At 40.8% G+C, this 26,003-nt stretch overlaps 1 protein-coding gene, 1 long non-coding RNA gene and 1 pseudogene across 2 annotated transcripts in view, besides 1 other annotated feature; 1 reads left to right on the top strand and 2 right to left on the bottom strand.

Moving 5' to 3' along the window:
• Positions 1-26,003, bottom strand: part of CREBL2 (cAMP responsive element binding protein like 2) — a 33,233-nt gene that overhangs the window by 4,828 nt on the left and 2,402 nt on the right. Inside the window, exons 2-3 of the mRNA NM_001310.4 lie at positions 4,307-4,504; positions 2,567-2,711 (exon numbers count right to left, since the gene is read on the bottom strand). Of these exons, the coding sequence (NP_001301.1) occupies positions 2,567-2,711; positions 4,307-4,504 (343 nt within the window). The remainder of the gene's footprint in view (positions 1-2,566; positions 2,712-4,306; positions 4,505-26,003) is intronic.
• LOC124902880 (uncharacterized) lies at positions 4,784-7,869 on the bottom strand. Its single transcript, XR_007063213.1, has 2 exons — positions 7,690-7,869; positions 4,784-5,528 (listed from the first exon to the last, which is right to left on the bottom strand). It is a non-coding gene; the product is annotated as an uncharacterized LOC124902880 (long non-coding RNA).
• Positions 15,372-15,666: a silencer, noted in NCBI's record as "tiled region #2795; HepG2 Repressive DNase matched - State 5:Enh, and K562 Repressive non-DNase unmatched - State 24:Quies". NCBI's record gives its function as "represses a minimal TATA promoter and a strong SV40 promoter by Sharpr-MPRA in HepG2 and K562 cells {active_cell/tissue: HepG2 | K562}" and the evidence as "EXISTENCE:reporter gene assay evidence [ECO:0000049][PMID:27701403]".
• Positions 24,332-25,627, top strand: RPL21P136 (ribosomal protein L21 pseudogene 136; annotated as a pseudogene).

Raw genomic sequence — 26,003 nt, 5'->3', positions numbered from 1 at the left:
CTGGGGGGAGGTCTATAAACAGCCACTCTGGGAAATGTCTGTCTTGTGCAGTTGAGATAAGGACTGAGATACGCCCTGGTCTCCTGCAGAACCCTCAGGCTTACTAGGGTGGGGAAAAACTCTGCCCTGGTAAATTTGTGGTCAGACCGCTTCTCTGCTCTCAAACCCCGTTTTCTGTTGTTTAAGATGTTTATCAAGACAATATGTGCACTGCTGAACATAGACCCTTATCAGTGGTTCTGCTTTTGCCCTTTGCCCTGTGATCTTTGTTGGACCCTTATCAGTGGTTCTGCTTTTGCCCTTGTCCTGTTCCCTCAAAAGCACGTGATCTTTGTTAGACCCTTATTAGTGGCTCTGCTTTTTGCCCTTTGAAGCATGTGATCTTTGTGCCTACTCCCTGTTCTTACACCACCTCCCCTTTTGAAACCCTTAATAAAAACTTGCTGGTCTGAGACTCAGGCGGGCATCACGGTCCTACCGATATGTGATGTCACCCCTGGCGGCCCAGCTGTAAAATTCCTCTCTTTGTACTGTCTCTCTTTATTTCTCAGTTGGCCGACATTTATGGAAAATAGAAAGAACCTACATTGAAATATTGGGGGCAGGTTCCCCCAATAGAACTGTTACCACTCAACAACAAAAACAACCTAATTAAAACATGAGCAGGGGACCTAGACATTTCCCCAAAGAATACATACGAATGGCCAACAAGCATAGAAAATATGTTCAGCATCATTAGGCATTAGGGAAATGCAAACCAAACACAATGAGATACCACTCCATACCCATTAGGATGGCTATAGTTTTAAAAAATGGAAAATAAGTTGATGAGATGTGGACAAATTGGAGCAGACATACATTGCTGGTGGGAATGTAAAATGTTTCAGGTACTGTGGAAAACAGTTTGACTATTCCTCAAAAATTAAACACAGAATTGTCATATGACCCAGCAATTTGACTCCTAGGTATACATACAAATGAATTCAAAACAGGTATGAAAACAAATACCTATATGCACATGTTCACAGCAGTACTACTCACAATATCTAAGAGGTAAAAACATATGTCCATCAAAGGATAAACAACTGTATATATATAAATATTATTTGACCATAAAGAGGAATTAAATACTGATGATACATGCTACAATGTGGATGAACCTCGAAAACATTATACTAGGTGACAGAAGCCAGACCCAAAAAGTCACATACTGTATAGACTCCAGGTATATAAAATATTAATATACAGAATAGGTAAATCCATAGAGACAGAAAGTAGATTCATGGTTGCCAGGGGTTGGGGGAAGTGGGTAATGGGGAATAACTGCTTAATGGGTTCAGGATTTTCTTTTGAGGTGATTAAAAGTTTCATAACTAGGTAGACATAATGGTTGCACAACATTGTGAATGTACTAAATGGCTCTCAATTTTTATGTTATGTGAATTTTACCTCAATTAAAAACAATCCTTACGATGATGGGCTACTGCACTAGACAGCCTGGATTAGGTGAGGACAGGTTCTACCATTAAAGCTGTGTGACCTTGGGCACCTTAGCCAGCCTTTCTGCTATTTTTTCATCTATAAAATAAGTATAATTCCTTAACACAATCAATGGAGGGAATATTTAAGATAAATATAAATGAAAGTACTCTGTAAACTGTAAATCAAAATACAAATAAAAGGTATTATTATTAACAAAAAGCTAGATTCGTGCCACTCCCATTTATGGACTAAGTCTATTAATAATAAAATTTCGATAAATTTATCAGTTGCTCTTTATAGACTCCATGTAAAATGCATTTTAATATTTAGAATCTAAGCCATTTCTCTTTTTCTTTTTTTTTGAGACGAGGTCTCACTCTGTCGCCCAGGCTGGAGTGCAATGGCATGATCTTAGCTCACTGCAACCTCCATTTCCCAGGTTAAAGCAATTCTTGTGCTTCAGACTCCTGAGTAGCTGGGATTACAGGCGCACACCACTGCGCCTAATTTTTGTATTTTTAATAGAAATGGGGTTTCACCATGTTGGCCAGGGTGATCTCAAACTCCTGGCCTCAAGTGATCTGCCCACCTCAGCCTCCCAAAGTGCTGGGACTACAGGCATAAGCCACCACACCTGGCCAGAATCTAATGCCATTTCATTTGCTTATTAGTGTATTAAAAATGGCATCAACATTTTATTTAAAGACATACTAAGAAAAGTGGTCAACAGAAACCCTACCCTGAGATACCCTACCTTGAGATACCCTCTTTTTGTTCCCCCCTTTTGAGACAGGGTTTCATGATCATGGCTCACCGCAGCCTCAACATCCCTGGGCTCAGGTGATCCTCCCACCTCAGTCTCCCAAATAGCTGGGATTACAGGCATGCACCCCCATGCCCAGCGAATTTTTGTATTTTTTTGTAGAGATGGGGTTTTGCCATGTTGCCCTGTCTGGTCTTGAACTCCTGGGCTCAAGCGATCTGCCCACCTCGGCCTCCCAAAGTGCTAGGATTACAGTCATGAGCCACTGCGCCCAACCGAGACACTCTCTTAAATATAAATTCTCCCATTGATGGCACTTACAGGAATTGCTATTAGCATCTGTCTTCCCAGCCTTGGTATGCCTGCTTGAGTTCTGCTGAGATTTGTTCTGCTCTTCTCCAGTGAGTAGGGCCTTTATTTCAGAAGGGATTTTTCCTTGGTCCATTGCCATGCACCACTGCTTGTACTGAAACATATTTAATTTTAAATATAAATATAAATTTAAAACATATTTAAATTAACTTTTACTTGTCAGAGTTCAGGAACCACTGGTAGAAATCCTAGACATAGGAACTCCCATGGCTAGAGGTCACGTTCGCTGCTGGGAATCCCACCCTCCATGGTATTACCTATTTATAACTGAGGACATGTACGAGATCTGCCATCTTTCAGAAGAGGCGGAAAAACTGCTGCTGAATTGTCTTTGATGTACTGGAGTGTTGCTCAGATTTAAAAGGCCCCTGTGGTTAAAAGGACATCTCCCCACAGTGTGCCACTAGTTAGAATTAATCTTTTTTTTTTTAATAATTGTCACAGTATTATTTCTACTCCCAAAATAAAGAAATAAATGTTAGTAATTTCCTTTCTCTCTTTAACAAGTGATCATTAAACATCTACTATCTACCAGAGTGCATGCTAGGGACTTTGGGGGTATACAAAGACAAAGCTGACCAAAGATTCTGCCCTCAAGTGGCTTACACTGCAGAAAGTAAGAAATAATTGATAGCATGTCACATTCAACATATCAAAAAAATCTACTGAATAGCATATATCTGGACAATATATACAACACTGTTCATGTCCCTCCTCTTCATGTTCCAACCTTGTTGTCTTACTTTCTAAAAACCTGTAGAAGCCTGTCCCAGTTGTGTAATGATCACAGTAATATCATCTCTCTCTTCTGTCACTTCCTCCCTCAGCTCACAATAATGGAGTTTCAATTCTGTTTTATCTACTCTCTTTCACATTTTTACAGCCACTGCCCAAAGGCTGAATGGATGAGTGAATAAAACATGTAAAATAAACAAAATCACTTGGCTGGGTGCAGTGGCTGATGCCTGTAATCCCAGCACTTTGGGAGGCCAAGGCGAGTGGACCATGAGGTCAGGAGATTGAGACCATCCTGACTAATGCAGTGAAACCCCATCTCTACTAAAAATACAAAAAAAATTAGCCGGGCATGGTGATGGGCACCTGTAGTCCCAGCTACTCAGGAGGCTGAGGCAGGAGAATGGCGTGAACCTGGGAGGTAGAGCTTGCAATGAGCTGAGATCGCGCCCTGCACTCCAGCCTGGGCGACAGAGCAAGACTCTATCTCAAAAAAATAAAAAATAAAAAATAAAAATAAATAAATAAAGTCACTTAAACACAAATGGTATGCTATGCATAGTTACATATTGTTATATTGCTTTGTCTACTTAGCAATATATTGTATCTTTCTACATCAGTAAATATATGTGCATTGTGATTTTTACTGGCTACGAAGTAGTCTAATACATGGATGTAGTAACATTTATTTAACCAGTCCTTTATTATTGTCCATCTGGGTTATTTTCCATTTTCTTCTCTCATAAACAATCCCTTAGTGTTAACAGTCACGTACACTCTGCTCCCACCAGCAGTGTATGAAGATGCCTATTTGCCCCCATCCTGGCTAACAGATTAATATTCTCTCCAATGTTTGCCAACTGGACAGGTGATAACTGGTATTTTCGTATTTTAATGTATTATTTATTTGACTGTTAAGGTGATTTTTTCATGTGTTTACTGACGATTTCTTACCATTTCCAGTTCCTCTCTGAGGGCACATATAGCTCTTTCTCGACTGGATACCAACTCTTCCAAATACTGATATCTCAGCTTTTTTCGGGCTCGGCATTCTCTTGCACTCTGCCGGCTCCTCTCAAGTTTTGCTTTCAAGTCAATTTTGGCTGGCTTCCGACCACGTTTACCGGGCTTCTTTACTTTGCCTCCAACCACCTTCAGCAAGCGAGAGAAGAAATAATTTTTTCCTTAGTTCTGTGTACAGAAAAGTGAATATGGCTGCATATTAGCAAAGAGAACATTTATAAACAAAACGTGAGTGAAGCCCTACGGAACTAAGAAAGCATAATCCCATCAAATGCCTTCTGGGTCTTTCCCTAATTTATTTTCTGACACTTTTGAAACCATGAATGTGAAAGAAGAAATAATATACATTTTTATTATTTATTTGATAATAAAGTTTAAATAGCTCACCAGTAAACTTTACAAACCATATGGAGATAATAAAAACTTTATTTATTTATTTATTTAGCTCACCAGTAAACTTTACAAACCATATGGAGATAGATAAGAAAAATGTCTACTAAATATTTTGTTCATGACAATTTTTTTTTTTTTTTTTTCCAGACAGGGTCTCACTCTGTCACTCAGGCTAGAGTTCAGTAGTACAATCATGGTTAACTGCAGCCTTGACCTCCAGGGCTCAGGTGATCCTTCCACTTCAGCCTCCCGTGTCGCTGTAACTATAGGCATGAGCCACCATGCCTGGCTAATTTTTCTATTTTTGTTGTTGTTTTTAGAGATGGGGTTTCACCATGTTGCCCAGGCTGGTCTCCAACTCCTAGGCTTAACTGATCCATTTGCCTTGGCCTCCCAAGGTGCTAGGAGTAAGCCATGGTGCCAGGCCCCACTTTTTTTTCTTTTTTTGAGACAGGTTCTCGCTTACTCTGTTACCCAGGCTGGAGCACAGTGGCACCATCATAGCTCACTGCGGTCTTGAATTCCTGAGTTCAAGTGATCTTCTGCCTCAGCCTCCCTAGTAGCTGGGTCTACAGGTGAGCATCACCATGCCTGGCTAATTAAAAAAAAAAAATCGCTTTGTAGAGATGGTGTCTTGCTATGTTGACCAGGCTGGTCTCAAACTCCCGGCCTCAAGCGATCCTCCTGCCTCCGCCTCTCAAAGTGCTGGGATTACAGGTGTGAGCCATTGTGCCTGGACTCATGAAGAAGTTTTTATTGCCTTGAGAAAAATAATTGCAACAAAATACATTTAAAGAACTCAACATTCAAAACTGTAAGTTCATTATGATCTCAACATTATAAGACAATACATAGAAGAAAGGAAGTTAACAAGGTCAGTGAAGACTTCTCTGATAGGTGTAATTATAAATAGCTTTTCCTCACCTATATTTTTATGATTTTCAAATTAGATAATAAAATATAAAATATGTGTATAAAATCGTATATATATACACACATAAATATGTATCCTAAGGAATTTGGCTATAAATTCCCTCAAATTTGTTGAGCCCAAAGGAACAAACAGAAAGCCTCAACTGTCTCAGTAGATTTCTCCCTGCTCCCACTGATGTCATAAAGCAACCTCTCAATATTCCTGTTACTCAATTACCTGCCTAGGCACAATTATTAGGTGACTGCCAAAGTAATTTAATCTTCTTCATTGTTTAGCTTTGAAACCTTCCCAAGTTTTTATGCAAGATGTAACTATATGGTAAAGATGATGAATTACTAAACACTTGAACCTGAACTTACACATCAAGTAAGTGTTCTTTAATGCAGTCACCTTGAAAGGGGGTACATTTATTCCAATAATGCCACAGTTCAAAGATTTTCTGAAAAGTAGTATTGGAGCCTGTTTTTATAAGTTTTATAAGGCATAACACAATATGTTAGAACTATACACTATTCTTTAAATTCCCAATCTGATTATCCACTTTATTTTTCTGACATGGTTCTGAATGACTGATGTCTAGCTCTTTCTGAAAATCGCCCTCGAAGAATAAACATTTTATATCTTTAGTGTCCTGACAGGAATATTGCTAAGGCTTTAAAGGCAATTCTAAAAGAGAAGATGCAAAATTCAAACACTGGCAAATCATTAGAATAAATGTAGGTGCCTTCCCAGATAGCAAAACTCAAAGGGTCAATATCTGTTTGGAAACAAAAACTCTGATTTGTTTGAAATCACTATTAGTATCACATTCACAATGCTAAGTACCCTAAAAAGATGAGATCATTACTAAGTCTAATAGTTAGGTCAAGAAAACCAAGCTTTAAATGTGAATCAGCCACATTTACCAAACTTCTGTCACATCATGATGGCCAACCATTGTATCTAGCATTTTTGTGGGGTGGCTCTGAAATGACACAGATTACTCCAAGGCTCTGGGGAAAAAAAATCTGTCCTTTCCATCACCGTCTTAAAGCCAGGTTCTTCAGTACTGCTTCCAAGTTAGTTTCAAGTTTTCAAAACCTGGTCTTTTAAAGCTTTTCTCTTCTGCATCATCGTCATGTTTTTTGTTTGTTTGTTTGTTTTGAGATGGAGTCTTACTCTTGTCGCCCAGGCTGGAATGCAATGGCGCGATCTCAGCTCACTGCAACCTCCTGCTCCTAGGTTCAACCGATTCTCCTGCCTCAGCCTCCCAAGTAGCTGGGATTACAGGTGCCCACCTGAGGTGATCCACCGGGCCTGGCCCAATCGTCATGTTTTTATTACATTATAACAATATACATCTAGCTGGGTGTGGTGGCTCACACCTGTAATCCCAACACTTTGGGAGGCTGAGGCAGGTGGATCACCTGAGGTCAGGAATTCGAGACCAGCCTGGCCAATATGGTGAAACCCCTTCTCTACTAAAAATACAAAACTTAGCCGGGCACGGTGGTGGGCACCTGTAATCCCAGCTACTTGGGAGGAGGCCAAGGCAGGAGAATCGCTTGAACGTGGGAGGTGGAGGTTGCAGTGGGTCCAGATCGGGCCACTGCACTCCAGGCTAGATGACAAGAGCAAGACCCCAGCTCAAACAAAAAGTAAAAAATAAAAAATAAAAATTAAAAAAATTTATATATATATATAAAAATAATGAAACTTTCTTCAGAGCCAAATATTTGAAAGCAATTGCAGGATGACCTAGTTCATCCAGATATTAAAATGGGTTAAATTTAAAATTATGCTTATATCTCATCAATCACATAATTTTAATAAAATATTTTGAAATCAACCTGAGTTAAAACAAAGTGTATTTACTATTGAATACACTTTTTGAAAAGCTTATATATTACATCAAGAACTCATGTCTGTAGTGAAATAAATGGATAATGACATCTATTCTTCATGTAGTAAAATGAGTCATTAATCATACAACACTATAATCCAATACCTCATATATTGCTCTTTTTAATTAATTCAGGAGTAGCTGCTTTTGAGACGCCAGAAAGAGAACACAGTGTACTTCATGGACTTCACTGATTTTTGAAACAAACCTAGCAATCATAAAAATATAAAATAAAAGCTATAACCCTTTGTTTAGTTTTTATGGCAGCAAAATATTTTAATTGGAACTGTGTTATTCCTTTTTTTTAAATTAGAAAGGCTGGCCGGGCGCGGTGGCTCACGCCTGTAATCCCAGCACTTTGGGAGGCCGAGGCGGGCGGATCACGAGGTCAGGAGATCGAGACCATCCTGACTAAAACGGTGAAACCCCGTCTCTACTAAAAATACAAAAAATTAGCCGGGCGTAGTGGCGGGCGCCTGTAGTCCCAGCTACTTGGGAGGCTGAGGCAGGAGAATGGCGTGAACCCGGGAGGCGGAGCTTGCAGTGAGCCGAGATCCCGCCACTGCACTCCAGCCTGGGCGACAGAGCGAGACTCCGTCTCAAAAAAAAAAAAAAAAAAAAAAAAAAAGAAAGGCATAGTATATGAATCCAAGGTTTCTGTATTTTATGTCATTTCCTATAAAGTTACATTTAAAACTACATAATCACCACTTCTCTAGCTTAACTTTTTCTCAGTAATAAACCAAATGTTTTGGCTTTTTGTAACAGCTAATGCCTAAAGTTCTAAGAGAGTAAGTATAACACAGGATTATTGTAAATCTTAGCTATAACAATGTATATGAGACTACTTTATAAAGAAAAAAAGTATTTGGTAAAAGGAATTTGAGGAGATTAAAAAAATAAAAGAGAAAAAAGTATTACACAAATGTAGGTTAGTACCAGTTGCCTTAACTACTAAACTTTATATATTTCATAAGCCATAAAGACTGAGGAACAGATAGGGGGCGTTAATTAGGAACCAAGAACCAGCAGCTAAAACTGAAATCAAGCCCACTAATTCCTGGGCCAAAAGACCATTCTTCACAATTCATAGTTTTCACAAACTCAATGATAACCACATTGTTCCCTTGCTCTTTCCTGATAACTTCTGTGAGGAAGCATATTAATATGGGTAAACAAAATTACTGACTTTCATGTACCGACATAAACTCCAAAGAAAACTATGAAAATAACCCCACACATCTAGCTTTTTTTCCTGTTCTAATTTTATTTCTACTGACATAGAGTCATGTGAAAATTTAAACAGCTGGCTTTAAAACAGTATACCTCTTTACCCACTATCCATTTTATGTCTTTTTCTGCCCTAGAGCACATTTGTGAGATGCGGACAGTGAGCCCAAGGGAAACAATAAAGACCTGTCTCCCTACCTCCAATCACTTAGAAAAGAAACCCGCTAGCCAGTGATTTTTCTTACCCTTCACAGAGAGCTTCTTTCACAAAGGTGGGCTATTAAAGATGTTAGACATCAGTAAGGTTTCTGAAATACTAAGTCTGTCTTCATTATATGTCAAAAGTGTTAAAGTCTACTGATTACAAGCAAGACTAAAGGTCCCAATTTTCCAACTCCCTGTTTTAAACACTTTCTCTTTTAAGACAAGCTAAACTAAAGGTCATGACTTTTTCAAAGTAAGCACCTGGAACTGTGTCATATAATTCTTAGTACCTGGTAATCAGTATTTAATAAATGACAGTTAAAAAACAAAAGACATTCTTAAATAACCAATGTGTCAAAGAAAATTGTGATTATGAGAGAAATTAGAAAAATACTTTGAGGAAAATAGATGGCAATTGTGATTACAAGGGAAATTAGAAAAATACTTTGAGATGAAAGAAAAAGAAAATACAACATACCACAACTCATGGGGTACAACTGGAGCATTCCTCAGAGGGAGCGGAACACACCTTTTTGTTTGTTTTAAAGAAGAAAGGTGGTTTCAAATCAGTAATCTAATCTTCCACCTTAAGAAACTAGCAAAAGAAGAGCAAATTAAACATAAAGCAGACAGATAGAATGTAATGATAAATAGTAGGCAGAGATGAATAAAATAAAGAATGGAAATACAACAGAGAAAAATCAATGAAACCAAAAGATTGTTCCTCAAAAGGATCAACAAAATTCACCAACCTTTAGCTAGACGGACCATTAGAGAAAGAAAAAACTCAAAAATACTAAAATCATGACCGAAAGAGACACCATTACTAACACTACAGAAATAAAAGGGATGCAAAGGAATACTAGGAAAAATTGCATGCCAAAAAAACTAGATAACCTAGATGAAATGGACAAATTCCTAGAAAGACACAAAGTAGCAAAACAGACTCAAGAAGAAATAGAAAATCTGAATTAGATCTATAGCAATAACAAGACACAATCAGTAATAAAAAATTTTATTCGATTAGTAATCAAAGAAAAGCCTAGGTTTACATGACTTCACTAATGAATTCTACCAAATATTTAAATAATTAACCTCACAAACTCTTCCAAAAAGTGGAATAGGAGAAAGCTTATTTCAACTTACTCCACGAGGCCAATATGTACTTGAAACCAAAACCAAAGATATCAGAAGAAAACTACAGACCAATATGGTCTTGTGAATTTATATGCAAAAAATCCTCAATAAAATACTAGAAGGCTGAATCTAGCAACAAAGAAGATTATACACCATGACTAAAAGGGATTTATCTCAAGAATAAATGTTGGTTTGACAACTGAGAAATCAATTACTATAATACACTGTATCAACAGGAAAAAAAGGACAAAACTTGCATGTTCATCTCACACACACACAAAAAAAGGACTTGACAGAAATTCAACATCTTCACATGATAAAAACACTCAATAACCTAGAAATAGGAGGAAACTTCCCCAATCTGATAATGGACATCTACAAAAAACCCACAGCTAACATCTTACTAATGGTAGAATACTGAATGCTTTCCCCCAAAGATCATGAATAAGGCAACAATCTTGTCTTCTCTCATCACTTCTATTTAACACTGAACTACCAAGAAAAAATAGGAAGCATTCAGGGAAAGGAAAGGAAAAAGTAAAGCTATCTCCTTGAAGGTGACATGATTTTATATATAGAAAATCCAATCCAAAAGAATTCTTGCCCCCCTGAAAAAACCTATTAGAGCTACTAAATGAGTAGAGCAAGGGTCCAGGATACAAGATCAATATACAAAAATCAGTTGTGTTTCTACACACTATCAATGAACAATCTGAAAATGAAATTAAGAAAATGACTCCACTTACAGTAGCCTAAAAAAGAATACAATACTCAGGAATAAATTTAGCATAAGGAGTGTCAAATCTGTGCACTAAAAACCACAAAATATCATTAAAAGAAATTAAAGAAGATCTGATAAATGGAAAGGCAGCCCATGTTAGTGGGCTGGAAGATTTATTATTATTAAGAAAGGAATACTCCTCAAATTGATCTACAGTTTCAACAAAATTCCTATCAAAATCTCAGCTACCTTTTTGCTGAAATTGGCAGGCTAATCCTAAAGTTCACATGGAAATACGAGGGACCCAGAATAACCAAAACAATCTTGAAAAAGACGCAAATTGGAGGGCTCACACTTTCTGATTTCAGAATTTATTAGAAAGCTACAGTAATCAAGACAGTGTAATACTGGCACAAGGACAGACATACAGACCAATGGAAAAGCATAGAGAATCCAGAAATAAATCCTTACGTTTATGGTCAATTGATTTTTGACAAGGTGCCAAAGCAATTAAATGGGGAAAGAATAGTCTCTTCAATAAAGGGTGCTGGGACAGGTGGATAGCCACTTGCAAAATAATTAAGTTGGATCACTACCTCGTACCATATACAAAAATTAAAAATTGAACAAGCCGGGTGCAGTGGTTCACACTGTAATCCCAGCACTTTGGGAGGCTGGGGCGAGAGGATCTCTTGAGCCCAGGAGGTCAAGACTGCAGTGAAGCTGGGTTTGTGCCACTGCAGTCCGGCCTAGATGACAGAGTGAGACCCTGTCTCAAATTTAAAAAAAATAGAACAAAGGCCTAAATGTCAGAGATAAAACTATAAAACTTAGAGGAAAACAGAGGATTTACTCCTTATGACCTTGGATTAGGCAATGGTTTCTTAGATATGATAAGCACAAGCTACCAAACTGTATTTCAAGGATAATCAAGGTAAAAAGACAACCCACAGAATGGGAGAAAATATTTGTAAATCACAAATATGATAAGGGACTTGTATCTAGAATACATAAAGAACTCTTACAACTCAATAATAAAAAGACAACCCAATTTTAAAAAGGGGCAAGGATTTGGATAGACATTCCTCCAAAGAAGATATACAAATGCCAATAAGCAAATGAAAAAATACTCAACATCATTAGTCATCAGGGAAATGTGAATGAAAACCACAAAATATATCACTTTACACCCACTAGGATGTTTACATAATCAAAAAGATAGCCAATGCCAGGCATGGTGGCTTAGCCTGTAATCCCAGCACTTTGGGAGGCTGAGGTGGGCGGATCATAATGTCAAGAGATCAAGACCATCCTGGCCAACATAGTGAAACCCCATCTCTACTAAAAATAAAAAACAATTAGCTGGGCATGGTGGCGCGCGCCTGTAGGCCCAGCTACTCGGGAGGCTGAGGCAGGAGAATCGCTTGAACCCGGGAGTTGGAGGTTGCAGTGAGCCGAGATTGCACCACTCCATCCTGGCAACAAAGTGAGACTCCGTCTCAAAAAAAAAGACAACCAGTAACAAGTACTGGTGCAGATGTGGAGAAAGTGAAATCCTCATACATTGCTGTGGGAATGTAAAATGGTGCAGCCACTTTGGAAAACATTTTGGCAGTTCCTCAAAAAGTTAAACATAAAGTTTATAACCTAGCAATTCCAGCCCTAGGTATATTCCAAAAAGAAAGGAAAACATAGGTCCACATTAGAACTTGTATATCAATGTTCACAGCACCATTACTCATGATACCTAAAAAGCAGAAACAACCCAAATGTCCATCAACTGATGAATAGATAACAAAAAGTAGTATATCCATACAATGGAACATTATTCAGCTATAAAATGGAATGAAGTGCTGACACACGGTACAACACTGATAGCCTTGAAAGCATTATGCTAAGTGAAAGACAAATACAAAAGGCCACATATTGTATTATTCCAAATCTATAGAGACTTAAAGTAGATTAATGGTTGCTTAGGGCTGAGAAGGGAAGAAAAAATGGGGAGTGCCTGTTAATGGCCTCAGAGTTTCTTTTTTTCTTTTTTAAATCAATAGACTTTATTTTTTTACAGCTGTTTAGGTTTACGGGAAAATTAAGAAGAAAGTACAGGGAGTTCCTATACTATCCCCTCTCCACTCTCACAGTTTCCCTTATTATTAACATCTTTCATTAGTGTGGTACATTTATTATAATTGATGAACTAACATTGATTTATTATTAGTAACTGAAGTCCACAGTTTACATTAGAGTTCACTCTTGGTGTGGTATATTCTATGAATTTTGATAAGCAGTATCATACAGAATCGTCTCACTGCCCTAAAAACCCCCTGTGCTCCATCTATTCCTCCCTCTCTTCCTCCCTCTCCTGAAACCCTGACAATCACTGAACTTTTTACTATCTCTACAGTTTTGCCTTCTCCAAAATGGCTCCTTTCACTTAGCAATATGCATTTAAGGCTCCTCCATGACTTTTCGTGGCTTGATAGCTTGTTTATTTATTTTTCTTTCTTTCTTTTCTTTTCTTTTTTTTTTTAAGAAACAGGGCCTCGCTATGTTGCCCAGGCTGGTCTCAGACTCTTGGGCTCAAGCTATCCTCCTGCCTCACCCTCCCAAGTAGCTGGAACTACAGGTACACCTAGCAACTCGTTTCTTTTTACTGCTAAATAGTATTCTGCCAGAGGGATGTACCACAGTTTGTTTGTAAGAGTCTCTTCTTGGAGTGATAGAACTGTTCTGGAATTAGATAGTGATGATCATTGCACAATTCTGTGAATATACTAAGAATCACAGGATGAACAAATTAAAAGGGTGAATTTTATGGTTTGTGAATTACCTTTCAATAAAGCTATTATTTTTTAAAAAGACATGGTTGCCTAGTGAGCCTGAAAAAGCAAAAATAGCTGAAAGGAAAGAATCAAGGTAGCACAGATACAGAAGCTTATGAGAAGAATGAGTATTCTGGAGGGGAGGGGTCAAGCATAAGGTTCTAACTCATGAGTTTTAAGGTTGAGAATTAAGATAAAACTGGATTTAATCAAGGGAGGGATTGCTGATAATTCTATAATTAACCATTACAGCGAAAGACAAAACAGAAATCAGTCTGCAAAGGCCTGAGGAAATTATGGATGGCCTAGGCTTCACAGTCAACAAGTTTAACTTCCACAGAAAGAGAACATATAATTATAGTTGCATGCTCTTTAGGAGTTAACTGGGGCTTCTTAAAATGAGGAAGCCTCCAGCACCCACATTTAATCCTATTCCAAAGATTCTTGGACCATTTACCTCCCATTTTTCAGGACAAACAGAATAAAAACATAAATTCGGGGCTAAACCAGGGTGTGTGGTCAGAAAGCGCTCATTATGAACAAGGCCTTGAGTGAGGCACTCTACACGCTATCTCATGTTATTTCACATTACCTCAGATGAGGTAAGCACTATTATCCTCATCTTTTTCAGGTAAAGAGGAGCACATTAATTCCTTTATTCAATGACCCTTTATTAAATACCCACTTTGTCCCAAACACTGTAAAACTCTAGGGATAAATACAAAACAATAGGACACTTAATCTTAATGTATTTAGACTAGTGAAAAGAAGCAGATATGAAATAAACAATAACATTGCAGATAGCAGAATATCAATATAGACAAGAATGCTGGTGGTGGAGGGATGTGTATACATAGACACAGATAAGGATATGTGATCTCTTCATTTCATAGATGACAAGATTTTAGTCCAGAGACTTCCATCAGAGCAAGGACTAGAACCCAAGTCCCTAGATTTGTATCATGGCAACCTGTCAGAAGGTAATCAAGCATGCCTATTACCATCCACATCTCAGACAGGACACATTAATCTGATCATATAATTTCCTGAAAAAGCTCTAACACTGACAGGTGCATTAAATGCACTGCTGTATTTATGCTATACAGTCATTCATTTAATGTAACTCACTTTGATATTAGGCACTCAGTTAAGGGGTGTGCTGAGGAGGTTAACTAACAAACTTTTTCATGTTACACCTCATTGAAGTTTCCCTCTGCTATTGTGATTCTCCATGCTCACCCACTAAAGTGATGCCAATGTATTCCTTTATAAACCTCTGATTTCTCTCTTCTTCTCCATTCCTACTGAGAGGGACAGGGGACAGAAAATTCTAGACAGAAAAGGGTGGGTCCCCGACAAAACCCCATCCTCAAGCCGAAAAGCCTGAAATGACGGCCCAAAATGAGAACTTACATCCCTGTTTTCCCACTCGAATGTTGCCTTTTCCTAAATCACCCATGGCCCTGCCCCACCCCATCCTGTGCCTATAAAACCCCCAGACGAGACTGGTAGACGAGACTACGGCTAGATGTCAGAGAGAAGTGGCTTGACTTCAGAGGAATGGCTTGACGGCATAACTTCAGAGAAGAGTCTGGCTGGAGACAGCTGGACTTCAAGGGAAGATTACCTACCAGTCCCATCCCCTTTTCAGTTCCCCCTCCTGCTGAGAACTACTTTCATCAGCAATAAAATCCCCTGCATTCACCATCCTTCAATTCATTTGTGTGACCTCATTTTACCTGGACGCTGGATAAGAGCTTGGGAGCCACAAGTGCAGATACAAAAGGCTGTCACACTGGCCCTTTGTCCTTGCTGGTGGAAGGCAGTTGCCTCACAAGAAAAGGCAAAGAGTCCACTGAGCTATTAACAGTTGAGCTATCCACGGATGGCAGAGCTCAAAGAGCACTGTAACACTCCCTCTGGGGCTTCGGAAGTCTCAGGCACCCCTACCTGGATGCTGCCATTGGGCCTGCATAAAGTTCACTCCTGCTAGCACCAAAGCAGCTGGCCGATTCCCGTGCTCATTCACTCCAGTTCCCTCACTCATTTGCTCACATGCTCCCTCCTGCAAGGAGTTGAGAGTGGTGGGCTGAGTATATGAGGCACCCGTTGTGAGTCCCGTGAAAGGGTCAGGGAAATATCCTGCTTCACTGACTCCCTAATACCAGTCAGGGCACTACTCACAGGTTGTTACAATAGGTTCCCAGTGCATCTCCCCACCATCTCTCCGTTTCCACCCCACTTCCCTAGTCAATTCATTTTGCAAAGAGCTGCCAGATTAACCTTTCTTTTAATAACTTTAGGGTGTTTTTCTTCCCTGTAAAAAAGTAATACCTGATCATTATAGAAATAATAAATTTTCTCTAATGGCCCCTGGCCATGTCACCCTCGAGTTCAAGAAAAGACCTCTGGCTCAGCACTACTTACTAAGTCACCATATCCAGTATACTCATTTCTTGGGGCTGCTGTAACAAATTACCACAAATGTGGTGGCTTAAACCAACAAAAATTTATTCTCTGGCTCTGGAAGTCCAGACTGGGGCAGTCTGGTGGAGCTGCATTCCCTCTGGAGGTCATGGGGAAGAATCCATTCTTTGCCTCTCCAGCTTCTGGTGGCTGCCAGCATTCCTTGACTTGTAGCCACATCACTGCAATCTGCCTCAGTGGTCACGCTGCTTCCTCATCTGTCCATCAAAGCTCCCTCTACCTTAGTCTTATAAGGACACTTGTCACTGGATTTACGGCCCATCCACATAATGGAGGATAAGCTCCTCTTCTCAAAATCCTTAATCACATCTTTTGCCATACAAGGTAATATTCATTGTTTTACCATATAAGGTGATAACCACAGGTTCCAGGGATTCAGACATGGACATATCTTTTTAGGGGCCACCATTCAGCCCACTGCATCCAGGATTCCCACAAAAAGCCAGTTCTCTCTTTCATTATCCCCAGCAGGCACCCTCTCTATCAACTCAAGCCAGTCTCCCTAGAGACCACCAGCCTGAACCCCATCCCCTGCATTTCTAACTATACCTACATTTCTATTTTCCCTCTATCCTCCCACCATCCAGAAGGGCAAATCTTGTTTTATTTTGTTAAGATCAGCTCTAGCCCTCTTTCTCTGAAGCTCTCACTGACCACCACCCTCAGTCCATAAGTCATTTTTCTTCAAAGTTCTGGAACACAGAGTTAATATCCCACTGAATTTATATGCTTTATTTTTTTTTTAGTGGACTCACACATTTTTCTATCTCCCCAAGTAGTCTGAGCTCCTCAAGCACAGAAGCTGTGTTTTCTACTTCTTTTGCAACCCCATAGTATCCAGCACAGAGCCAGGCATTTAAGAGATATTTATTAAAAGATTGATAATTTAATGAAATGAAAAAGAAAAATCAGCAATATTTTGAAAGTGATTTAAACTGATACTACTATCACCAACAACTTTAAAGAAGTTGTTACAAAAAAAAAAAAAAAAAAGAAGTTGTTACAAAGAAATGCTCCCTCTCAGGGATGTAAAATCTGAAAAGCAATTAAGAACTCTTCTTTTATCACCCTTTTTACACTTATTTACATCCTGATGCTCTAATTAAGGCAACTAATAAAAGTTTCAAGTTGTTAAAGTTAAGAGAACTACTGTATTTAGATGAAGAAGTACCAGCAGCCTCAGCCAAAAAGGAAAACAGGAGGGCTTGTTTTGTCTTTCTCTTAAAAACATAAAGAGAAAAGTTATCTCCCACGGATTAAAGAAAAATTAAGATAAATATGAATGTGGCTAGCCACTGCTCTTTACCACTTTAAAGAAAAAAAACAAGCAGTGGCGTTTTCATTTGATGTTAAGGCTCCCATAACTTCCTTCACAGCTGTGGGTTAGGCTTCTTCTCTTTTTATATTTGCCAGATCTACAGAAAGCAGCAAAGTCTACTCACATCTTCCTGCTGCTAACCTTTCTGCCAGTTTTTCTAGTCGACAGGAGAAAGATCAAGTAGGCATCTCTAGCCTGAGAGTTAACTTCTGCCTCTCCTCTCTCAACCCCTATCCCCTCCCTCATCCCCCACAACTGGTAAGTCCTCTTTTTAAAAGTCTCTCCACTCTTAGATGGCATAACAGCCCTGTCTTCTGGTTCTCTTACGTCACTGACCTCTCTTTTCAGTTTATTTTGCTGAGTCCTATTCTTCAAGAATCTTCTGATCACTTTAGAGTTTTCCAGGGTTCTCTTTAGCTCTCTATTCTCTTCACTCTTTATCTTTTCAGAATTTTATGCACGCCGCATCAACTGCAACTTACATTGTAAAGTCTCTAATATGGTCTTCAGTCCAGGCCTTTCTTCTGTGCAATCTAACCATGCCAGTGAGAATTCAAAAAAGACCAGGATTTATTGAACTCAGTATGTATTAAGTTATTTTGGTATGGGATCACACATATATTACATTTAATTCTCACAATAACTCAATAAGGTCCTTATTAACACACCCAATCCGTATCTGAAGAAAGTAATATCTGAAGAGATTAAATAATCTGTCCAAAATCACAACAGTTTGAAAGGGTGAAAATGAGATTTGAACTCCAGTCATATGCTAAAACCCATGTTCTTTCATAATCGGACCGTCTGCCTCTGGTCTTGTCCCAGTTCCTACATTTTCACCCTAATCTGTTCTCCATATAGCCATTGGCATTTTTCTTCAAAAACACAAATCAGATTTTGTCACTTCTGCTTTAAAACCCTTCAATGGCTCCCCAACATTTATGGCCTTGGTTTTCAAACCTCATTACACATAAGAGCCACTCAACTGGGAAGCCTATTAAAATTTAAATTCCCAGACCCTATCCCGAAAGAATCTGATTCACCAGGTCTCTTCCACTCTGAAAGATACTGACCCAAATTTGTCAGCCTTGTTTACCAGGTATATTGTAATTTGGTCCCTGCTTATCTTTCATCCTCATCTCTGACCACACCTCTACTTCTGCTTTACGCTGTAGCTCAGGGTTAATATATCACCGCCCTGCTGGCAACTCAAATATAGCCTGCTGCCAGTTTTTTTTTTTTTTTTTTTTTGGTTTGAGACGGAGTTTTGCTCTTGTTGCCCAGGCTGGAGTGCAATGGTGTGATCTCAGCTCACCACAGCCTCTGCCTCCCAGGTTCAAGCAATTCTCCTGCCTCAGCCTCCCGAGTAGCTGGGATTACAGGCATGCACCACCATGCCCAGCTAATTTTGTATTTTTAGTAGAGATGGGGTTTCTCTATGTTAGTCAGGCTGGTCTCGAACTCCTGACCTCAGGTGATCTGCCCGCCTTGGCTTCCCAAAGTTCTGGGATTACAGGCGTGAGCCACTGTGCCTGGCCCAGTTTTTGAAAATACAGTTTTACTGGAACACAGCCATGCCCATTCATTATATTCTGCTTATGGTTGCTTTCATGATACAATGGCAGAGTGGAATAATTCCAACAGAGACCATATGGTGTGCATGGCCCTTTACAGAAAGTCTGTCGATCCTTCTCTAGCTGTACCAAAATACTTACTTTACTGTGCAAGATGCTTTACAACAGGATATTCCATCTTTCCTGTTTTGGAGGGGACTCCAGTTCTTTAAAGATTCATTCCTACTCTGTAAACCCATGTCTGACGTTCCTCGACAGTTAAGCACCCACTCTTACTGCCCCAAAAGAACTTTGCCTCTATTGCCCTCATTTTCTACCTCACTGTATTGTAATTACTTTTCTATTTGTCTGCCTCACCCAATAAAATGTTCCCTGAGAACAGTTACAAACTCTTAATCATCTTTGCAACTCCAATGCCTAGCACAATGCCTCGTACATATCAGGTGTCCAACAAATGTTGAATGAATTAATAAATAAACTTTTCTGAAAATCTTAAGAGGACAAAACATTCTGAATAAGGTTATTTAAACTTAGATTAAACTTAGATTAAGGTTATTTAAACTTAGATTTCAACTGGTTTCTGTGGTATTTAAATTACTCCTTGGTTTCTGAATTATCTGTAGAGGTACTCAAGTTGAAATGTGCATGTAACCTAGACAAGAAAGGAAGGCGGCCGGGCATGGTGGCTCATGTCCGTAATCTCAGCACTTTGGGAGGCAGAGGCGGGCAGATTGCTTGAGCTTGGGAGTCTGAAACCAGCCTGGACAACACAGGCTGTCTCTACAAAAAATATTTTTAAATTAGTCAGGCATGGTGGCAGGTGCCTGTGATCCCAGCTATTCCAGAGGCTGAAGTGGGAGGATCGCTTGAGCCAGGGAGGTGGAGGCTGCAGTGAACCATGATTGCACCACTTGTGCCCAGCCTGGGTGACAGAGTGAGACCGTCTCAAAAAAAAAAAGAAAAAGAAAAGAAAAGAAAGCAAGCACATTAATGTCTACTGTCAGAGATTTGTTTAATAGACAACATGGCTCTTTTGTCTTGGTCTTCTAGAAAGTGTTGATGTGAGTAAGAGGACAGGAAAAGCAGAAAATGTCTGGGCTATAAGGCACGGCCCAAGGAAGGTAGCTCCAACTGCAGCAGAGGATGGTTAAGGAGCCAAAAGATAAATGAGGGAATGTCAAAGAGATTTTTTTGCCAAATTAAAATTTTTTTGAGAACCAGAACTACTCAGAACTGGAAAGAATCAGAAGACTTTGGCAGAGGGAGAGGGTTAAAAGGGTAAGGAAAGTGTAAGAAACCTCATTTCCAGATAATCACGTAGAACACAAGGTAGAAAAGAAGTGTGGAGGGAAATGGCAGCTCACATTGGCATGCTGCAGCCAGTAGTTGGCCCACTCCTGCATCAGTCCCTCAACTGGATCTTGACGCCTTAGGATATTTCAATTCATTCATGTGTTCATTCAATAAAGTCCAACATAAAATAAAAAATAAGAACCTTCTATCTATGATCAAAGCCTCTGAAAATAACACATTTCTATTTTCTAATTGAATGCAGCAGGTCAAGGGAGAAGAAACTTTCCTTTTTCCTTTGAGACAGAGTCTGGCTCCACTGCCCAGGCTGGAGTGCAGTGGCGTGATCTCGGCTCACAGCAACCTCCACCTCCTGGGCTTATGCAATTCTTGTGCCTCAGCCTCCCTTCTGAGTAGCTGGGATTATAGCTGCATACCACCACACCTGGATAATTTTTTATATTTTTTGAAGAGATGGGGTTTCGCCATGTTGCGCATGCTGATCTTGAACTCCTGAACTCAATCCACCCACCTTGGCCTCTCAAAGTGCTGGGATTACAGGCATGAGACACCACACCTGGCCAAGAAGAAATTTTCATAAAAACAAGCACTTTTTCCTAGTGGTAAACATGGAGGTGGCCTCAGGAGACTACCTTTCTCACACTATCTAACTTAATGACAGAGCTTAAGTTCATTTTATGTCCCACCCCACTGCCCCTGTCCCATCTGGAGCATAGTCTGGAGCAAAGGGTAGTGTAGGTGTTACAAATCTTATACAACAGCATATACTTAAGAATTACTAAAATGATCCCTCTCCCTCTCCCTCCTCTCCCTCCTCTCCCTCTCCCTCCTCTCCCTCTCCCTCTCCCGTCTCCCACTTTCCACGGTCTCCCTCTGATGCCCAGCTGAGGCTGGACTGTACTGCCGCCATCTCGGCTCACTGCAACCTCCCTGCCTGATTCTCCTGCCTCAACCTGCCGAGTGCCTGGGATTGCAGGTGTGCGCCGCCACGCCTGACTGGTTTTTGTATTTTTTGGTGGAGACGGGGTTTCGCTGTGTTGGCCGGGCTGGCCGGGCTGGTCTCCAGCTCCTGACCGCGAGTGATCTGCCCGCCTGGGCCTCCCGAGGTGCCGGGATTGCAGGTGGAGTCTCGCTCACTCAGTGCTCAATGTTGCCCAGGCTGGAGTGCAGTGGCGCGATCTCGGCTCGCTACAACCTCCACCTCCCAGCCGCCTGCCTTGGCCTCCCAAAGTGCCGAGACTGCAGCCTCTGCCCGGCCGCCACCCCGCCTGGGAAGTGAGGAGCGTCTCTGCCTGGCTGCCCATCGTCTGGGATGTGAGGAGCCCCTCTGCCCGGCCGCCCAGTCTGGGAAGTGAGGAGCGCCTCTTCCCGGCCGCCATCCCGTCTAGGAAGTGAGGAGCGTCTCTGCCCGGCCGCCCAACGTCTGAGATGTGGGGAGCGCCTCTGCCCCGCCACCCCATCTGGGATGTGAGGAGCACCTCTGCCCCACCATGACCCCATCTGGGATCTGAGGAGTGTCTCTGCCCCACCGCCACCCCGTCTAGGAGGTAAGGAGCATCTCTGCCCGGCTGCCCCGTCTGAGAAGTGAGGAGCCCCTCCGCCCGGCAGCCGCCCCGTCTGGGAAGTGAGGAGCGTCTCCGCCCGGCAGCCGCCCCGTCTGGGAAGTGAGGAGCGTCTCCGCCCGGCAGCCGCCCCGTCTGGGAGGTGTACCCAACAGCTCATTGAGAATGGGCCATGATGACGATGGCAGTTTTGTCGAATAGAAAAGGGGGAAATGTGGGGAAAAGAAAGAGATCAGATTGTTACTGTGTCTGTGTAGAACGAAGTAGACATAGGAGACTCCATTTTGTTCTGTACTAAGAAGAATTCTTCTGCCTTGGGATGCTGTTAATCTGTAACCTTACCCCCAACCCCGTGCTCTCTGAAACATGTGCTGTGTCCACTCAGGGTTAAATGGATTAAGGGCAGTGCAAGATGTGCTTTGTTAAACAGATGCTTGAAGGCAGCATGCTCGTTAAGAGTCATCACCATTCCCTAATCTCAAGTACCCAGGGACACAAACACAGCGGAAGGCCGCAGGGTCCTCTGCCTAGAAAAACCAGAGACCCTTGTTCACATGTTTATCTGCTGACCTTCCCTCCACTATTGTCCTGTGACCCTGCCAAATCCCCCTCTCTGAGAAACACCCAAGAATGATCAATAAATACTAAAAAAAAAAAAAAAAAAAAAAAAAAAAAAAAAAAAAAGAATTACTAAAATGAGCATCTCAGGGACCTACTGCACCGTAGTAAAGCACAAGGAATCACTGTTAGGTAATATAATAATGATAACGTGTTTTGAGAGCCTACTATGTGTTAGAGTCTGTACTAGAGCTTTAAATGTATCAACCCTAATCTTCACCAAGGCCTCACCTATTGGCCACATTTAACAGATAAGGAAATGGAAGCTCAAAAAAGTTAAATAAATTAGCCAAGATTTTTTCCTTCCCAACTAGCCTAGTAGGAGATCTACTCAGTATTTGAGCTCTGCTACTTAACACTTTCCTAAACCCCCACTTTAGAGATGCCAAATCTGTCTCTTGCTTTATTTCTCTCATTTGCCATTGTAAGTATGTGCTGGCTGGTTTGCTCAGCTGGAGCACACTGATTAATAAAGCCCGAGTACATCAGGGCAATCTCCTTAATGTCACCCTGATTCAATTCAATTCAATCTCTATAAATGAGTACTTTATGCTGTATTAGGCACACTGCTAGAAACTTGGGAGGCAAAGCTATTCCCCATTCAAATCTGTCCTGCTCTCACTCCAGCCAGCTAGATGGCAGAGTGTGGAGAACTCGCAGCAAACTCATTTATCACCACTGGTAAAAACAACTCAGAATACAAAATCTTTATAAAGGGAGGCCCTCACATTATCATCATCATGTTTCCTGACCTACTCACTCAAATACTACCTCTCTATAACTGCTGTTCCTGCCTACTCTGTCTTCTTCCTGTTGCCCTGGTCTTGCTGTCAGCCAGTTTATCATCCTTTATGCTCTCAAGGGCACAGCCACCATACTTCCAAACCCCAATCCTCATCTTCCCTTACACTGAAGAAAATGGGACGAGAGAGTGTGACTCATACAGAATGTGAGGGAAAAGTGTGTTTTGTGTGTATGTCTGTATATACTAGGAGGACAGTACAATTTTGTGGGATTATAACTAGGGCACAGAAAACGCAGGGCTGGGAGCTGCCAAAGCCTTATATAAGGACAGTTTCACACTGCCTGACTGTTGAAGGAGAGTCCAGTATTATACATGACATGTAAATATTACTTATCTACAACTACAACATGCATTCAAAGTGCAAGTAGAGTATTCCAGAGGCACTCTCCATCCAGAGACATTTAAATGAATTTTCTTTTTGATGCTCACTAAGGTTTTCAAAGCTGCTGGTTTCTAAGTACTTATAAAAACAATGAATTAATAAAGAGTGAGAATCAAATTCACTGTGCTTACCTGTGTATCCTTTAGGAAGTAATTCACGGATAGCTTGCCCTCAAATTTTAACTTCACTCTTTCAGGCTAAACAATGACATTTTGAACCTTCCTTCACCCCACCAGATTGCTAGTTTTAGAAATAACTTTTATATGATCTTACAGCTAAGTAGCCCAAAATCCTATGTATTTTTCTTCGACTTATTTGAAATTATTGAAGACTTTCAGAAAGTTGTTAAATGTTTCAAAGGTCTGAAAAGGAAAAAACTGAAAATCAGAAAGAATATATTCTGAATCTCAAGTTAGGAAAAATAAAGAACAGTATGTTCTTCTACCATCCTTAAATACCCATAACATTAGTATTATTTTCTCATCAAGATAATAGATACAGTGTTAATATTTAATTTCAAAATTAACACTGAAAGATCAAGCTACCAAAGACTTTTATGAAATATTATTTCTGCCTTTTGGCTGGAACTGCCATCTTCCAGTAATTCACCAAAATGATTAACACAAAGGCAAAGAGAAAAGGCACCAACAGATGTTCTCCAGGCCTTTTAGAACACATGGAGTTGTTCCTTCGGCCACATACATGGAAACCTACAAGAAAGGTGATATTGTAGCCAGGTGCGGTGGCTCATGCCTGTAATCCCAGCACTTTGGGAGGCCGAGGTGGGCGGATCAGGAGGTCAGGAGACTGAGACCATCCTGGCCAACCTAGTGAAGCCCCAGCTCTACTAAAAATACAAAAATTAGCTGGGCATGGTGGCACACACCTGTAATCCCCACTCAGAGGCTGAGACAGGAGAATTGCTTGAACCAGGGAGTCAGAGGTTGCAGTGAGCCAAGATCGCACCATTGCACTACAACCTGGTGACAGAGCAAGACTCCGTCTCAAAGAAAAAAAAAAAAAGAAGGTTGATATTTTAGACATCAATGGAATGGGGACTGTTTAAAAGGGAATACCTTACACAGATCACCTGAGGTCAGGAGTTCCAGACCAGCCTGGCCAACATGATGAAACCCTGTCTCTGTTAAAAAAAAAAAAAAATGCAAAAAGTTGGCCAGGTGCAGTGCTCATGCCTGTAATCTCAGCACTCTGGGAGGCCGAGGTGGGCGGATCACTTGAGGCCAGGAGTTCGAGACCAGCCTGGCCAACATGGCAAAACCCTGTCAGCCTGGCCAACATGGCAGGCTCTAATAAACCCTATCTCTAAGAAAAATACAAAAATTAATCGGTTGTGGTGGCATGCACCTGTAATCCCAGCTACTCAGGAGGCTGACGCAGGAGAATCACTTGAACCCGGGAGGCGGAGTTTATAGTGAGCCAAGACTGCACCACTGCATCAAGCCTGGGCGACTGAGCAAGACCCTGTCTCAAAAAAAAATTAGCCGGACATGGTGGCCCATGCCTGTAATCACACCTACTCGGGAGACTGGGGCTGGAGAATCGCTTAAATCCAGGAGGTAGAGATTGCAGTGAGCTGAGATCGTGCCACTGCACTCCAGCCTGGGGGACAGAGAGAGACTCCATCTCAAAAAAAAAAAAAAAAAACTAATGCCCTACAAATCTTACTATGGCAAAACTGGAAGAGTCTACAATGTTACCCAGCATTCTGTTGGCATTGTTGTAAACAAAAAAGGGAAAGATTCTTGCCAAGAGAATTAATGTGTATATTGAGCATATTAAGTACTCTTAAGAGCTGACAGCTTCCAGAAACGTGTGAAGGAAAATGATCAGAAAAAAAAGCCAGTGAGACCCTCATCTCTGCAAAAAATTAGCTAGGAATGGATGTGCATTCCTGTAGTCCCAGCCACTTGGGAGGCTGAGGTGGAGGATTGCTTTGAGCCCAGGAGTTCGAGGCTGCAGTGAGTTGTGATCACACCAACGCACCCCAGCCTGGGCAACAGTGCAAGACCCTATTTCAAAAAAAAAAAAAAAAAAGGAAACTAAATAAGAAAGGTACCTGGGTTCAATTGAAGCACCAGCCTACTCCACCAGTGGAAAACAGCCTGAGCTACTAGAACTTATTCCCTATGAATTCGTGGCATAATAGGGGTAAAAAAGACAAAAGGTGTAAAAACGTTTATCTTCATTGAGTAGAAGTGTGATGTCCTGGCCGGGCGCAGTGGCT

Source organism: Homo sapiens, chromosome 12 (assembly GCF_000001405.40).
Source record: "Homo sapiens chromosome 12, GRCh38.p14 Primary Assembly".
Taxonomy (NCBI): Eukaryota; Metazoa; Chordata; class Mammalia; order Primates; family Hominidae; genus Homo; species Homo sapiens.
This window is presented reverse-complemented; position numbering and strand designations above follow the sequence as displayed.